General features: G+C 38.0%; 1 protein-coding gene across 6 annotated transcripts in view, besides 3 other annotated features; it reads right to left on the bottom strand.

Annotated features, from left to right (window-relative positions):
• The window catches only part of CAMK4 (calcium/calmodulin dependent protein kinase IV), a 271,304-nt gene that overhangs the window by 243,154 nt on the left and 9,856 nt on the right, over positions 1 to 18,294 (bottom strand). The gene's annotated exons all lie outside the window — the stretch shown is intronic.
• Positions 13,970 to 14,069: a silencer, noted in NCBI's record as "silent region_16232". NCBI's record gives its function as "represses an Ori minimal core promoter by ATAC-STARR-seq in GM12878 lymphoblastoid cells {active_cell/tissue: GM12878}" and the evidence as "EXISTENCE:reporter gene assay evidence [ECO:0000049][PMID:35858748]".
• Positions 17,358 to 17,407: a silencer, noted in NCBI's record as "silent region_16231". NCBI's record gives its function as "represses an Ori minimal core promoter by ATAC-STARR-seq in GM12878 lymphoblastoid cells {active_cell/tissue: GM12878}" and the evidence as "EXISTENCE:reporter gene assay evidence [ECO:0000049][PMID:35858748]".
• Positions 17,428 to 17,477: a silencer, noted in NCBI's record as "silent region_16230". NCBI's record gives its function as "represses an Ori minimal core promoter by ATAC-STARR-seq in GM12878 lymphoblastoid cells {active_cell/tissue: GM12878}" and the evidence as "EXISTENCE:reporter gene assay evidence [ECO:0000049][PMID:35858748]".

Raw genomic sequence — 18,294 nt, 5'->3', positions numbered from 1 at the left:
TGTATTTCAATTTAATATTTAGAAGCCTTTAAAGGGAGGGAAAGACTAAGGAGAAAGAAAAAAATAAGAAGCAAAGGAAAAGCATAGACATAAGAAGACTCACAGAAAGGCCTTCTCAAATTAAATCCATATAGCTGTATTTGTTTTTTATTTGAGAAAGAACTTAATGAAGATAAGGCTGTAACTGGCCCAGCTCTGCCTTCCTTCCAGCTTTGTGATGCAGTGAACATGGTAAACACACTGGACATGTCTTGTTAGGAAGTTCTCTTCTCTGACTGTCTTGGAGTTTTTTTAGGTTCTGACTACCAATACACTTGTATATTTCTAAGACCAACCTGGACACCCATATAGACAAGGCCTCTGCTGGCTTACATGATCCTCAGAGAAAGAATTCAAAAAGAAATCTCTTCCTCTGAAATGAAGTGTCTTAGTCAATGAAGAATGAAGTGGATATCATTCTTTTGGTCAAAAGCCCTTGTGTAGAGCACAACAGACTGTGGAGGAGTAAAATGTAACCAGACTACTTACAACCCAAGAGCCTTTCCACTAGTCACAGAACAATCACTTCATGAAAGTGCAATACCTTACAGGAGTGGATAACACAAAATACAGCTACGCAACTCTAACAGATACAGCAATGTCTCCCACTTTTGAAGCCAGTTTTATTTAAGCATAGCAAGCCATAGCAAAGAATGTCCAAGGATTTACAAAGCCAAGGCAGCTGTTGGGCTGGAAAGTCACATTCATGGAGAGGCTAAGAAGTACTACATAAATAATGGCTGGGTGCAGTGGCTCGTCCCTGTAATCCCAATGCTTTGGGAGGCTGAGGTGGGAGGCTGAGATAAGAGGGTGGCTTGAGGCCAGGAGTTCAAGACCACCCTGGCAACACAGGGAGATTCCATCTCTACATAAACTTTTTTAAAATATGAGAAAACTGAAGGGTAGGGGCTCAGAATTGGATGTTGCCTCGCAGGAAATGTAGAGGATAAATGGATGTCAGAAAAGATCATAGTGGTGATGGAGAATGGAAAACTGAGAGAGGAAGAAGAAAGATGGTAAAACAGGATCTAGGTAAGAATAGAAAAGACAAAGAATAAAGCAGATATGAGAAAGAAAAATGGATACTACAGGGATGAAGACATTCTAAGAAGGAGAAACAGTATACTGGGAAGTGGAGTTGTACCTTTAGTATGTCAGCATTCTTCTAGAAATACAAAGTCCACATATAATGAGCCCATAGGCATTGAAAATGGGTAGCAAAATACATGTTACCAGCTAGCCTCAAAGTCCCCAATTTGGGTCCTCTGATATTTTGAGCCCATTATCAGAAACAAAGCTGATTTTTAAGAAGAGTCAGTAGAGAATATCTTCCTTCTTTAAAGAAGTACACCATGCCTTCAATCAGGTAAGAGAAAGCAACATGATTCTCTCCCTAAGCTCTCTGTAGCTGCCTGATGGTGTATTCATGTACTCTGTCTGAAATGTAAAAGCACTATGCATTACCTCTGTCAAGTTCTGAACACCAAATTTGTGTGCATGGCCAATTTGCTCATAATTTAGTTTCATTTTATCTTAGATATTTTGTCTAGGACATAGTAAATTTGACAGAAAATTCACTTCAGAAGAGACCATAAGACAGAGTATAAGCTTTGGAGTCAGACAGATAATCAGGTAGTCCTGGGGTAGGGCACTTCCTGCCTGTATGAAATGGCCAGGTTACTGTTCTCCCCAGGCCTCTGTTTCCTAAGGTTAATAATACCTATCTAGCAGGTTATTGTGAGAATTGAGGGCAGTAAAAATAATGTGCCCAGCTCATAGTACACACCTGTTAAATATCAGCTGCTCCTCCTGTATGCAATTTTGTGTACTCAGTGGAAAAATATGTTAAATATGTTTTTATGTTTTATATAAATTATATAAAAGCATATTGAGAAAGCAATCAACAATGAATATATTCTTAAACTAATAAAACATTAACCTATAGCCCTAAAATAAAATGTATGGGAGATAATTAGGTGAAAGCAAATACACACACACACACACACACACACACACACACACACACATATATATACACACACACACACATATATATATATATATACACACAAATATAAAAGAACCAAGAATAAAATGAATAGTAACCATTTCTGGGTAATGGGATTGAAAGTCATTTTCATAGTCAGCCTTTTGTTTATCTAACATTTTCAAAACTTCTATACTCAAAAATAATTTATTATAATTATTTAGATTTACATGTATAAATGTATATTTATTTAAAATACATATAATTATATTCAAATACTATATTATACATACAATATATAACATCTAGAACATTTAGATTATATTTTTTAACATTTTCAGTTTCAGTTATATTTTATAATCTTTTTCAGTTTTCAGGCCATTGTCTCAAGTAGAACAGATAATTTCCAGATCATCTATGTTCTTGGAAGGAAGGAAACTTTCAAGTTTTACAGGGCTGGGTTTTACCCAATTATTTGATGAAGAGAAGGCTTTAAATCCTCTCTTTCTTGAACAATGAGGAAAGGAATAGGAAACTAATATGCCCACTTTTTCATGCTTGCACACACAAACTGGTTTTTAAATAATCTGGTTGAATTCAATCAAAATGGTTATTTTAAAACAATAATCGCTTCAGATTGAGCCAGTGCTTTTCTAATTAAACTGAACTTCAAATTTTGATTTGTTTTTTCAAACACATTAAAAACATCCATGCAAACAGATTAAGGTGACCCCCCCACACACCGCCCCCGCAATAGGAAGTAGCTCAGAGGATTTAACAGAGATCCAGGATACAGTTCAGGGACCTATGGGTGACAATCAGATCTGTCTTTCATGCTCCACGCCTTTCCTGGCTAATGGATCTAACCACAACATGATTTGATTACTGGTCATAGTCTCTGGAGAGGACTCTAAATCACATCTAGACTCTAGACCATATGACATTACTGATATATTACAGAAGAGCAAACCTCATCTCTGTTTGATCTGATAATATATCATCACAATAAGAAGGGATTTAAGTGGTGTCCAGAGGAAATATTTAATCTCCTCTAAGAATCAGGCACAACATATACCAAGCAGCACTGAGACTAAAGCAATGTGCTAGATACTGTGAGAAAACAGTAAAACAAAACAAATAAAACCAGATTCGCTTTCAGGACCTTCACTTGTCCTGTTTTTTTTTTTCATGACTTGTTTTCTCTGGATTTAAATAATTTCTTAAGTGACACAAAATTATAGCCTGTCACATTAAAAAGTAAGTGCTAAGATGAGGCTTATCATGCCCAGGACATAGAACCTGCTCGATCTTACTGGCTGGTTCCCCACAGTAAGAAAATCTCCAAAGACCAGCAAACATTTAAAAGCTATTACAATTTAATTTCTGCCAAGAGAAAGTGATAGCTCTGAACAAATATTAAAATCATTAACCCAAGAGTTAATAACCATTTAGTTATTTAAAAATATCTCTCAGTCAACATTTATTAAATTTCCACTTTGTGAAGAAGACAGAAGATATGATTCCAAAGGAGCTTACAGTTTAACAGAACAGAAACAGACATAAATACATTTAAGAACACAAACAACAGAAACATACAAACAAGTAAAATAGAACCGAATTATAGTAAAGCCCCTCCAAAATGTATTCTGTAAAACACTAGTCCAGTGAGATAATCTGCAGGGGAACAAAAAGTCCTTGATCAAATAAGTATGAGAAACAGTTAAAAACCACAATGCCCCTGAGCACATTAAAGACTGGAAAATTCTAGAGCAATCCTTAATCTACCATTTCTCAAATTTAACCTCGCAGTACTTCTTTGGCCTTATAATTATTAACATCTGTGATAGTTTTATGTGTAAATTTTTCTAAACTATAGTAGCACATTATTCAATTAAAACACTAGTCTTGATATTGCTATGAAGTTATTTTATAAATACAGTTAACGGCTACAATTAGACAACACTAAAGTAGATTATCCTCCATTATCTGGGGTGGCCTCATCCAACCAGTTGAAAGTCCTTAGGAGCAAAACTGAGGTTTACCTGAAGAAAGGGAAATTCTACCTCAAAGCTATAGTATTAGTTCCCGCTCCAGACTTTCGATTGTACTGGCCTATCCTGCAGATTTCTGACTTGCTAGCCTTCCCAATTCCTTGAAAAAAATAAATATATTCATTTATTTATAAATAAAATAATATTTATAAGGTTATATTTATAATCAATTTACAAATTTAAAACCATTCTTAAATTTTATGAAATTTATAAATTTATGTATCTATAAGTATAAATATACATAAATTTATATATAAATATAAAATAAGTTCCATTTATAAGTTTATTAAAAATATTATTTACAAATTTCTTTATAAATTTATATAGCTATAAATATAAAATATAAAAATAATTTATATTTAATATAAATAGAAAATATTTATAAATAAAAATAAATGAATCAATGTGTGTGTATGTAATTTGCTAGGCTATATCCTACTATTTTTACATATGTACACATACACTACATACATACATACATATACTATACATATCAGTAGTAGCTGATATTTAACAGGTGTGTACTATGAGCTGGGCATAATATATATATGTATTTTATTGGTTCTGTTTTTCTCTACTAAACTCTGATTGATAAAACATCCCGAGGAACTAATGTTTTCCATAACCTTCTTCAGGAAACACAATAAATTCCCATCTTCTACAGCAATAAAATCCTATCTTCTGCAGCACATCATAACTATAATGAGATACCAGGAGCTGTATGCTGGAACCCCACTTAATTTAAGGGATATAGTAAACATTATTGGTTGCTGCTCAGCATGTTTTCTAACAGCATGCACACACACTCACAAAAGTTGGGGTTGCCAAAGTCCTAAAAGTAGACCCTGAATGACATAAACCAACAATTGTAACCTCATCCCTGCTGTCTCTGGTTTGTTTAGGTGTGGTGGTAATCTGGGCCTAGGTCAATTAGTGTACAGACATCCCCCTGGCCAGGATGGTGGATTCTGCTTCATTAAACAATAGGAGGATGTAAAGATCCTTACTGTCCTGGATGATGATGGTTGGCTGCCAGTAGGAGGACTTAAATGCTGCATTTTGCTACCATGAGGGAAGCTGGTATGAAAACAAAACCAACACACCTGGGAGAGCAAAGCTAAAATAAATGCAGAGAAATAAATCTGTACCAAGTCGAACTGCATGTAAAACCTGAAAAAGTTCTGGACTTTAGTGACTTGAGCCAATAAATCTATTCCATTGGTTAAGATGATCTCAGCTAGGTTTCTTTTGGTGCTTCAGTATTTACTTATTAAATTACATTTGTACATTAAAGCATCCTAACTGATAAAAGGGAACATAGAAGCAGTAAAAACTGGGAATATAAGAATACAGAAAGCCCTTCTTGGGGGTAGACAGACTGGGCAGGGCAGTGGCGAAAGAAAAAGTGTGTTAAATGAATAGGTGAGCACAAGCTTTGTGCTTTCCAGCTATTCTGAGAATATGTACAAATACATTTATGTGAACAAACCTCAAACATCAGTGCTCCTTAAACATCTCGAGAATTCGATGAAAGCTGTGGTGACTTGCTTCAGAAAAACACGTCCACACATAAAATATAGCTTTCAATTTCAGAAGCTTCATATAGTCCCAAAACCTAGTCACAGGAAGATCTATGGATTAAAGTTAGAAATCCCTGCTCTATATGGTGGCTGGCAGAAAAATAATGTTAACATCAATGCTTTCTATAAATGGTTATAGAAGAATAAAAATAGAAACATGCTTTGGCTGAACACAAGTTATACAAACTGCAGTCATTTGTGAGAACCATTTACTCCTGTGGCTGATAGGTTTGTTCACATGATTATGACGTACACACCCAACAGTTTTGTGTTAAGTTTTGTTTATATCAGAAAATTTGTCCATGAATGCGCAGCATTTTATGGCACACACAGCAGTCATCTTACCACTTTCAAAAAGTTAAGGCAATCTGTATTATCAACAAATTTACACACAGTTAACAGGTTTAAAATATTAGATCAGGGAATCAGTTGGAGAAGTCAAGTGAAACTCATTTGCTGCTATTTAATGGAATTATGAGAATAAAAAACCAAATTGAAGGGGTCAAAGTAGAGCTGTTTGAGAGAAATATGAACATGGTAGTTGTAACTCATGTCAGAGAAAGTAGACCAAGAAAGGAAGAAAAGATATGGCAGAAAATGTATTAGTATCCACATTTTTCAGTGCAAGCTTAGATATAGGCATGTGAATAAAAGACAACACTTGCAATTTTCCCTTTTACCAATAATAAAAATTTCTGCTATTATTATCAACAATAAATTAAAATAATTTTTCTTATCAGTTAAAGAAACTTAAAGCTTTACTTGACAGCCTATCACCATAGTCAGTGAAATTACTGACTGGGGTAAAGAAGAAAAGAGAAGAATATGTATTTAATGCAAATTGGGTGCTGGCAGTATTAATTGAAATTAAGAATAAATATCAAAGATATTTCTCTTGTAAATAACTTATGGAATCAATATGTCCCCAACTGTAAAAAAGTAAAAAGTAAGCTTAGTCCTGTAACATGTGCAAGCCCCATAAAAGTACTACCTCCATGTGAGTTTTGCTAAATATTCTAGTAATATATTCATCAATCCATCAATATATTCATCATATTCATTTCTGCTAAATATTCTAGCAATATATTCATCAATCCATCTGCTCAAACGTTCACTTTTCCTGGAGTTAGAAAGAGTCAGAAAGTTAGAAACAAAAAAGGATTTATTTTATGTTATGTTATATTATTTATTTATTTATTTTATTTTTAATTTTTTGAGACAGAATCTCGCTCTGTCACCCAGGCTGGAATGCAGTGGTGCGATCTCGGCTAACTGCAGCCTCCACTTCCCGGGTTCAAGCAATTCTCTTGCCTCAGCCCCCCAAGTAGCTGGGACTACAGGCACGCACCACCATGCCCGGCTAATTTTTGTATTTTTAATAGAGATGGGGTTTCGCCATGTTGGCCAAGATAGTCTTGATCTCCTGACCTCGACATCCGCCTGCCTCAGCCTCCCAAAGTGCTGAGATTACAGGCGTGTGCCACTGCGCCCAGACTATTTTATGTTATATTTTAATATAGGTCAGCTTTTAAAAGTGAGTGGGACACTAGCATATTTAACTAGTATCTTCAAAGAGGTATGACAAAGAATATCTCAGCCCCAAATCACTCATAGACCAGAAGACAATGCAAACCAACATCAAGGCTAGAATTCTTAACTGTGATTCCAATACATTTGAGGACAAAGATTTTTTACAAGGTGAACACTCTCCAAAATGGGAATGAAGACAAGTATAAAATATTCTGCAATGTTTAATAATTTTTGATGCATTTCAATTTTTAAGACATATCCTCTGCAAAAAAAAATAGTAAGCAAAACATACAAGGTAGAAAATAGTGCATATTTTTAAATCTAAATCTGTAATAGTTTCTTGGAGATACAGAATTTTGTATTCTGAAATAATTCAGGAAAGCTGTAGGAGGAATAGCTGGGAATGGTTTAAGCCCAGCTTTCTGTAAATGGCACTTGTGAAGAAAGGAAGTACGTCAGAGACAAAAGTGCAGAAGACCAAGGTTCTGGTTCCATTTCTACTACTAACTAGTTTTGAAGGGCTGGAAAAGACAGGTGACTTCTCTGTGCTCCGGTTTCTTCATCTGTATTAAAAAAACAAAAACAAACAAACAAAACACTGGACTGGTTGAATTTTAAAGTTCTATCCAGCTCTAAGTTCCTGAAAAAATCTAAGTCAGAATCTTAAGAATGGTGAAGATGAATGCATGTTGCATTCGTGCAGCTATAGGCACAAGATACAGTCACAATATCTTCAGTATTTTTTACATTACGAGGCTTGACATTCCCCAGCAGTGCCCCTTTGTAAACACAGGAAAGAACCGCCGGCTAGGAGACTCCCAGAGATACTTGCCTGAATCCTTCCTCATCCTCTCAATAGGCTTCAGAAGGTGCAAAAACAAACAGACAAAAAACAAGAAGATATTGGCAGAGAGGGAAATTGGAGCCTTTCCCATGATAGGGCTAGTAAAATTTCCAGTTAGGTTAACTCAGTCATGATAGAACCTATAACTGGCAGGCAGTAAACATTTTTTTAGTCTACCCTGTGTGACAAAGATTCTTTGCTTGACAAAACTTTAGTCAGGCTCCTGAGCCTTCTGCTACGCCCATCTGTGTGCTTCCTTGTACAATACAGTTTTCATAAGAACCTTGCTAAGTCAATCTGGCAATAACCCACTACTCTCAATGTCTGATTACACTCAGAGTCTGATCAAGTTCCTCATCCTTCACTCTTCCCCAGGTGATGCCTGATCACCCTGGCTATCTTCAGGAAGAACCACAGGTTCCCCATATCACCGATGTTTCCTCTTAGTAATTTTCCATCCACTGTCCTTGCCCCTTGGCTATAAAATCCCACTTGCCCTTGCTGTCTTTGGAGTTAAGCCCAATCTTTCTCTTCCCCACTGCAGGACCCCATTGCAGTGGTCCCTATTCAATGGTCCTGAGTGAAATCTGCCTTACTGTGCTTTACTACAAGTCATTGAATAATGTTTTAAACATCTGCCCGGAACTGTGGAGGTACATGGGAACTAAAAAGTCTTAGAGGAGCTCCCAATCCAGGTGTAGAGGCAGACAGGACCTCGCCACAGTGCACTAAAAAGTAGAGGCAGAGAGAGCATCAGGCTGCCTGCATCTGAGCCAAGCAGGGCTTCCCGAGATGACACCTGCACTATCCTGAATCAGAAAAGGTGTTTACAAAATATGGAAGAGGGGTGTAGAAAGAGGGGGCGTGGAGTGAGGGGGCGCGGTTTGGGAAGGTGCACCATGGAGGTGCTGCACAAGAACACAGGACAGCATGACACATCCTGGGTGAGGAAAAATAGCTGTAGGGCTGGAGCCCAGGTGAGAACGCAGGAGTGGTGGGCGTAAGACGGCAAGCGCAACGGCTGTTCTGAAAAGACCTGCTGTTCATGCAAAGGACTTTCACATCCTGGATGGGATGGAAGATGTTAAAGGATTTTAGGCAGGGGAGTGACATTATCAAACTTGGCCTTAGAAAGGTCATCTTACAAGCAGATGGGATGCAATAAGATTAGAGACAAGATTTAAATACCAGTGCAATAACCTAGGAAAGAGTTCCAAATGATGTAAATGAAAAAGATCAGTGGCCACACAGAGGAGGGAACGGATTTAAAGTATATTTAAGAGATATAAATCATACCTATTAACCTTTATTGAATGTGTGAAATATACTAGGTACGATGCCAAGGAACTTTATGATACACTGTTTCATTTAATCTTCATAATAACCTTATGAGATTATTATTATACCCCTTCAAAGACTCAGAAAGGATAAGTGACTTGCCCAGGGTTATACATGTATTAAGTGGGAGAATATGTCTTATTAGGGGAAGGGGTGAAGGAGAAATCCAGAATACCGCTGGATTTCTAGGTAAGGAGCAAAGCAAATGGGGGTAACATGTACTGAGGTGGGCTACACAAGCAGGACACCAGGTTTTCTTGTGGCTGTTGTTTGGGGGTGAGTGGAAGATGGAGTTAGTTTCGAATAGCCTGTGTCAAAGTTGCCTGCGTGGTCTTCCAGTGGGAAGTTCCAACAGTCCATCTTAAATAAGGGCTGTTCCTGCCATGAATTATTCACCAACAAGACATACACAGAAATCAGTTATTGCCTAGAGCTGATCTACCTCTGTCAAGATGAAACAGACCTGACTTCAGGCCCTCCCTTTGAGCCCTCAGCTCCAATGTGCTCCGCTCTGTAACAGCAAGATTCCAGGGACAGCTTCTCCTATTAGATTCAAAGCTTCTCACTGGTTAGTACATTCCCAATTGCATGATTTACTGGCAGTAGTATATTTTCACAAGATTTTTCAAAAATGACTTAAGACATTCAATCATTATTTTATATATATAAGAATTTATCAGTTATAAAATAATACCTCAGAAATATTCCTTACAGAACGATAAGCAATTTATGTAGATATTCTCCACTCTGGGCAGTGAAGTTTAACCCCTTTTTCCCCAAGGGTGAGCTAGACTTAGTCACCAAGTTCCAAAGACTAGATAGAGTAAGAAAAGAGGTAAATAGTAACTGTACAGTGGAGAAACCTGGAAAGTGACAGAGGTTGACATCCATAGAGATGTCACATGACATCGTGCAACATCTGATACGATGTCACAAGGAGGGCACTTCATTTTTGTGGTATTCTTCCCCAGTTAATCATGAGAAATGACAGACAAATCCAGACTGGGGGCATAGGGGCTGGGGGTGGGTATTCCACAGGATACTTGTCCAGTATTGCTCAAGACTTTCAAGGTAATGAAAAACAGGCAAAGACTAAGAAACTGAGCAAGGAAGACATGGTAATTAAATGCAATATATTTGCCTAGACTGGACCCTAGAAGAGAAAGAGGACATCAGTAGAAAAGCTGGTGAAATTCAAATAAAATCTGCAGTTTAGTTAATAGTAAAAAAAAAAAAAAGTCATAATTATTATTATTCAAATAAAAATTTGCAGTGTGTGCATAGCTTTTACACTTAACTACAGTCAAAGAATTTACCTTTTTTAATCTTTGCAATAATCCTGTGAAAAAAGGCACTAGTATTTTCATTCTACAGAGGAGAAAATGGGGCTTGTTACAATTTAAAAGATTCATTAACAATAAACAGCTACTAGGTACCAGAGTTGGAATGTATCTTTGTACCACCATCGTTGCCACTGGGGGTTCTATTAATATCTACTAAAGTCATAGGGTTATTTAATGTGGGCTGCAGCCCTGCTTTTGACTCTTAGCATTGCCCTATAGCCAAAACATTTCTGAAATCTCAGAATCAGAGAACAACTTGAAAGGCTGTGATATCCAATCATTTGTAATCCCTCCTCCTTTACCGAGAGGCCTTCCAGAATGAATGACCCTTACCTAAATGACACTCAAGTAAGGTGTCTCCTAGGTCATCTAATTTCTATCCCCCCACTTTTTTCCTTAGTTATGAGTATCTCATTAACAGCTTTCTTCAAGGTTATTAATTTGTTTTCTTAAGTACTGCAATGAAGTTCCTTCGCCAGAAGAGAGGGTAGGACAATTAAAAGCAGCTATAAAAGAAATGTAAGATGAAACTGGAAATCAAACTTTCTTTTACAACTTAGGTATCACGTTAGAGAAATACATTTTTTAGGTATGGCTAATAGTAACATCATTTAAATATAAGTCTCTTCCATGTGATGTATTGTTTTATCAGCGTGCACAAACTAATAGACTGCTTTCAAATATTCCTTACTACTTATGGGTTTTTTTTTTTTTAGATTGTTAAATGATTTCCAGAACTCTATTTCTAAATCACAGGTAAGTTGCAGTGATTCTGGGTTTGGTTATTTAACTTCCCGGTGAAGAATGCAACATTTAGAATGAAAAATTAATCTATGAAGAAGAGGTAAAGTTAGTGTAAATAAGACCTCAAAGCAACAAAAAGATTAATATTTTCTAACACCCTTTTAGAAGAAAAAAAACTAAAAATTATACAGAAAGAACCACATGCAGCAGTTATTTTAAACTACCCCAACTTTCCTTTTGTCTGCAGATGTGGAAAATCTTACGGTTATACTACACCTTCTTTTCAATACATGAAATATCAAAAAACAGTAGTCAAATATTTACAAATATTGCACCATGTACTACCCCTGGGTAAAGGGGAAGCTTAGATGCTCAGAAAGCTTACTCAGAAGCTGCAAGCAGTAGCAGAGAATTACTAAGGCCTCCTGCCAACGCATTTCCAGAATTTTAGAATCTTATGACATTTTTGAGAAAGTGTGCTATCCAATCACCTAGAATCCCTCCACCTTTACAGACAGCTATTCCAGAATTAATATCGATAATATCTAATGCTTACTGGACACTTACCGTGTATAATGAATGCACTGACCTCATTTAATCATTATTATCTCTTCTTATGGGTGGAGAAGCTGAGGCTCAATGAAAATTTGTCTAAAATGACACACTTCATGAGTGGCCGAACTGGGACTCTATTGCAGGTCTTTCTAACTCCAAAACTTGTCCTTTTCATTTATCTTAATATTTAACAATCCCTGCAAATAAAAATCTCCCTTCTTGGATAACCTCATGTTCATGCAAAGACATGCAGTAAAGGTCCCCATTTCAGTGTTGTGTGTTAGCTATTCATTAACCTGAGAAACATGAATCTTATTCTCGGGAATTTATAATTTAAGATAGAAAACTGACAATAACAGCCAGAGAAAGCAACCTAGTGCTAAAGAAACACTGACAAGGTTAAAAAAAATCCAATAAAACCAAGCAAAACACAAGTAAAACAGACCTCGAATTAATCGTAAGCATCATAGGTTTTTCAAGGTTTGAGAATATATTCAGAATAAGGTGAAAACACGGTCAAAGACCCAGAGGAATACTGGGTTCCTAGTCCTGAGAGAGGTCCCCAAAGTGATCGTGTGAGCTGTGCCAGAATACAGATCCAAGTCCTGATGAAAACATATGATACTCAAGATGCGCCAAGTTTTATTTTTTAATAGCTGAGCTTCTAGTTGGCAACAAAAAATCCCGTGCCAGCTGCTGAGGAAATAATGTACCAGGAGCTGGCAGGCATTGACACTTGGAAAGCCAACAGGTACGGATGCACAGTGGGATCCAAGGTGCTAGTGCCTGGAAGGCACGAGTGGAAGTGGGGATGTAGCCACAGAAGAATTGTCCCAGTCTAGGGTCTGGCAAGGTGGAGGCATGCTAGGGAGCCCACCTCCTGTTAAAAAAAAAAAAAAAAAAAAAAAAAAAAGAAGAGCCTCTGAGAGTCAGCTTTAGCCATCCTAGATAAAACAAGTAAGGAGCTTTACTCCTTGTGAAGTGGGGTTCTGGCCTCCTTTACCCAGTATCTGGGAGGAAATGTCAGGCATCTGAGAAAGAAGAGCAGATCACTCCTCAAACTGCGACGTCAGACAGGTGCCAAATGGGGGAAAAGGGTACAGGGCTGTCTTTCTCTGCTCTGGCTGGTAACAAAGTGCCACAGACTGGGGTGGCTTAACTTAAAAAAAAAAAACATTTTTTTCACAGTTCTGAGGGCTGGAAGTCTGCAATCGGGTGCCAGTGTGGTCGGGTTCTGATGAGAACTCTCTTCCAGGCTTGCAGACTTCTTGCTGTGTCCTCCATGGTCAGTGATGAGAGACAGCGAGCGAGCAAGCTCTCACAACTCTTTTAATAAGAGCACTAATGCCTCATCACCTCACCTAAACCTAATTTTCTGCCGAAGGCACATCTCCAAACCCCATCGTATTGGGAGTTAGGGTCTCAATACATGCCTTTGGAGGAATAAACATTCATTCCATAAGATGGGCAGATACAAGGAAATGACTGGTACCTAGGCTCTGGAGAGATGAAGGAAACAGGGAGAAATCAGGAGGGGACGGAGAAGTGCTCTGGGCCTAGGGGTAACTGGACTCAGAAAACAAGAAGTAAAGCTGGTAAGGAGTGGCCTCCCTTCTGCCCCTCAGCCCTGTGTCTGCCTCTCTGCTTCCCACCCACAGTTTCCTTTCACCACGCTCCCCTGGCCTCTGGTTGTCAAAAGAAAGATGGGAAGGTACACATTTCCAGAATAATTACTTTGACAGTGCATAAACATCAGGAATGTAAAGTTAATAACCCTACTTGGAAGTTATGTCAAGCTGCATTTCTTTTTGATCGATGATTAAGCATTTCAGTAGATGGCTTTTAAATAATATCCCCAAATATAGATAGACATGGAACAGACTATTTATGCTCTTATCTCCTTCAAGACCCTCTCCTTAGGTCTTCCTTCCCCTCCTATGGTCAAGTCAGGGGATATGTTACCCAACCATGTGACAGGACATTGCTAACTGGTTACATAGCCACAAATAGGTCATAAGTCAAGCTTTTTAAAAAGAATGATTCTTTTCTAAAAGCAAAACTAGAGGGGTAGAGGAAGCCAGGAAACATACTTTCTTCTAAATCTTGTCCTAGATATCTACAACTAGTGCTAGCATTTGTATAGTCTACAGCAGGAAGTACAAATGAGTGAATGTAACAATAGGTACATTTTTTAAAGGTGATGCATTTAGAAAGCACAAAATGAGAATAAAATTTATGTGAGGATCCTCCAACACACTTAGAAAGCCTTTCAGGCTTAGAGCCCTACTTACTTCAAAAGCTGCTCTGTCTCCTAAACAACATAAAGAACTAAGGTGATCGCCCAGAGAATTCAACTGGAAGAAAACGCAGGTGCACACATGGTTGGGACTAGAAGGGATCTTAGAGGTAGATAATCTCCTCACAGAAGGTGACAGTATCCCTGATCACTTAGAGATGGGGGCTCTTTAAGATAGAGATGACTGACAAAAGACCAGAGCTCCCTGGGTTCAAAAGGAGTTTCAATTGTGGAAACCCCATGGGTGCAACTGATATATTACTCAGCAAATATGTAATGAGTGTTCACTATAAACTAGGCATTGTGCTAAGATTCTGGGGACACAGCAGGGAACAAAGGGACAGAAACCAGAGCCTCAAGAGCTTACATTCTAATGAGAGGGAGACACGTACTGAACAAGTAATTTCGGTGTGCTAGTTTAGAAGTGGGTTCGTATAGAAAAAAACATCCTGAAGAAAGACAGTTTTAAGTACCGCTGATTTTCTTGCAGCTATTTGCCTAATTCCTCTGACATTTGTTCATTCACATAATGTTCCAGAAACACTTAAGGGGAGGCAGGCATTAGGCTGAGGGATGGGCCTAGTAGTAGGAATAAAAGAGGGATAAGATATGGGGTTCCTCTGCCCAATAAGCAGATGTTCTGGTGGTGAAGACGACAAAGCATTCACCTGTAAGACCATAAACACTGGAGATGGGGAATTATGAAATGGTGTGAGTGGGGAAAGGGCAGAAACTTTCTACCTGAGGTGGATGACTGTCCTGGAGGGATTCATAGGAGAGGCACATTTCAGGCCAAGAGAGTTTCATGCTTAACACCACAGAGATATGAAGATCACTGAGGCATCTGTGCAGCCAAGGCAGGTAGAGCAAAAGAGCATGAGTGCTGAAGTCTGACAAACCAGGGCTTGAATCTCAGCTCTGCTCCTCTCCACCTGGCTGTGTGAGCTTAGACAAGGTGCTTCACCATTCTGAGCCTCAGGCTCATCCTTGTGAATTGGTGCTGGTGATAAACACCTGGTAGTATTCTCGAACTAACTAGCAACGTACTTAAAGACAGTATAATCACACCAAGCTCCTAGTAAATATCCCATGATGGTAATTACAGAAGAGAAGTGGTGGGGAAGGAGGCTGGCCTGGAAGTTGAGCTCAGATTGCTAACAAGGCTGTATAAACTGAACTAAGTAAGGTATTTATCCTATCAATACACAAGTGGGAGTCATTATCTCCTACTTCCCACCTTGTGGCCTGTGTGGGGAATAATATTAAGTTTATGTGCTGGGTATGGAGCTCAGTGTTTCACATTTGTGATCTCATTTGATTGTCACAGAAATGACGTGGAGAACACACTACCACAATCTTCACTTTACAAATGAAGCTGAGTGAGGTGCGGGGCTTTATGCCCAAAGAGGCAGGGCCGTCAAGTAACAATTGTGTCCTGCCTGTTCCTGTCTTAGCCCCTGCCTTGCTCAGCAGACCTTCATCTTCACCAATCCAGCTGTCCAGAATGGCCTGCTTGGTGCTCCCCGCCTCAGAGCCACCCTGAGTAGCTGCCTCACCCACCTCTCCCCTTAGAGGTGGCTCCCCGAGGATCACTCCCCTCCACTACTTGGCTCAGGCTCGGACCAACGCTCTGCTGCCCTTGCCTGGCCCAAGCCAGATCCTTAGGCCAACCACTTCCCCCAATCCCAACAGCCCTTAGCTCAGTCCTGACATTCCATTTCCTCAGTAGGTCAATATTTTAAAGAACTGCACTGGTTTTCTGGAGATCATCCTGAAAATTTTCTCAGGTTCCCACTTCATTGGTGTGTCACACATACATATGATAAGCTCTGTTTATTACGTTCTTAGTTTGCCTCCAGTTACAGGTTGCACTCAGAGAGCTCACGAGTTTACCTCATTGAACATTGTTATTAGTGTACATGTTCACATTGAGGGGAAAAAGAGAGGAAGAGCCCAGGGTCCCTCAGGAGTCACTAAAATGTTTCCAGTCAAGAAGAACCCTTTAGAGGCCTATTAGAACTGAACACTCTAGGCCAGGCTGATTTATTGAATTACATATTTTGAATTTGGTCACATTTAATAGCATAGTCTTATTTTCTCAGTGGTTGCCCTGACGGAGAGCTTTGAATAAAAATGACTTATTTGAATGAATAAGCAGCAAATATGAAAATCCAGGTAAACACTAATCTTAGAGCAGTTTTCGCAACTAAAGAACAACTTTGTGTGTCTGTTAGAGTCCTAAGTGGAAGGCAGCTGCTTACTAAATTAAAGTAGTCATGAATTGTCCCTTCAAATCAGTAAAAGTAAGGCAAACCAAACTAACAGTGCAACATTCTGAGCAATGAAAAGTAAAATGCAAGTGAAGGTCTCTATTAAACAGTCCATAAAGACCTAAAATAGGGAGACATCATTCAAATACTTCATTGTAGGTAACAAGACATGTGTGAGCACAATTATAGATCTGTTATCTTCTCCACTTCTATGTTCCAGTTTATAATATTAGTCAAGTTCTGTCTACAGGCATGACATATATCAAAGAAAGTGCACTTTTAACAAAGCATGCTACTACAAACTTGTAAAGAAAACAGGTAAGAACGTGTCCTATCCATTATCTTTTTTCAGAGACTATTCCAATCAGATGGTGGTCTCAAATCTAGCCTTCTTTATTTTTTTCCATGAAATATTTCGGTACCTGGTAAATTTTTGAGCCATACTACCCTGAAACATGACTTAACAAGCAAGTGGTAACAACACATTTGCTAACAGGGTTAAGCTCAGCATCCTGGCACTAATGCCCACAACTCTTCAAGTACTGTCCACAAAACACTTTAGGTCAGTGCCTTTAGCTGCCTAAGCCAGCAGTTGGCAAAATTTGCCACGAAGTGCATTAGTTATATTAAAATTGAGATTCTTGCAAACAAACCCTATTTCTCTACTCTTTTTCCCTCTCAACTCCATGACCACTGAAACTTTGTTGTTGAAGCCAAAGTTAAGTTCACCCTCTGCTTGATGTGCAATCTGTATTCCTTTACTCTCATTCTGTTTTCTTCTATGTGACTGTTTTGGTTACAATGGCAGTAAGTTCTTATCAAAACCGTTCATCAAGTAGTCTTGAGATGCATAACAGTTGCACGTATGTACCCACTTCCCCTTTCTGCACAAAGACACACCTTGCAATATGATTTTTTGTTTGCATATTTATCTGTATATTTGCTTTAAACTCACTTTTCATAAAGTAGAATGTTATTTAAATATAAAGAAGTTTATTCAGTATCCACTTATGACTACCATTCTTTGACCCAGTCACCATCCAATAAAATGTTTTTTGAGCACATGCTTCCAAACTGTGTACACTAACGTACCTATTAATGGTATATATGTGTTACTTAACCAACATTAATGTGCTTTTTAAAACATCCAAAAATAAAAATTAAAGACAAAAATTAAAAAAAGAAACCAAAACAGATTCTCTAATACTTTCTTCTAGCACCTCATTGTATTACACATACCCTGGCTACGGGCATCCCACCTTATAGACCTCTGCTATAGTCGAAATATGAGTGGCTGATTTAATTTAACTCTATTCAATATATAAAAAAGGAGTAATTTTAAGTTTTCAAAAGATTGCTTAAACAGGTTCCTCATTTAAATGACCTTAATTATCCACCTGAGACATCTGCATAGCATATAGAAGGATTATTCAACACACAGCTAATACTAGCAAATGGAAAAATTAATTCAACTTTACTAGTTAGAGGAAAATCTTTCATCAGTAATTTATTTAGCATATTATTGTCACTCTAAATATAATAGAGGAATTATCAATTTGAAACCTATTTAGTTATTATGTACAAAACAAATTACCCGCCAATAAATAGTCTTTTGATATGAACATTGTTCACGGTATGGAAATTTAACTTTCACGCCCTTCGAATAAAGGCTCTTCATTTTCACAAACATTATGTGAAGTAAACATCAGTCATATAA

This window comes from Homo sapiens, chromosome 5 (genome assembly GCF_000001405.40).
Source record: "Homo sapiens chromosome 5, GRCh38.p14 Primary Assembly".
Taxonomy (NCBI): Eukaryota; Metazoa; Chordata; class Mammalia; order Primates; family Hominidae; genus Homo; species Homo sapiens.
This window is presented reverse-complemented; position numbering and strand designations above follow the sequence as displayed.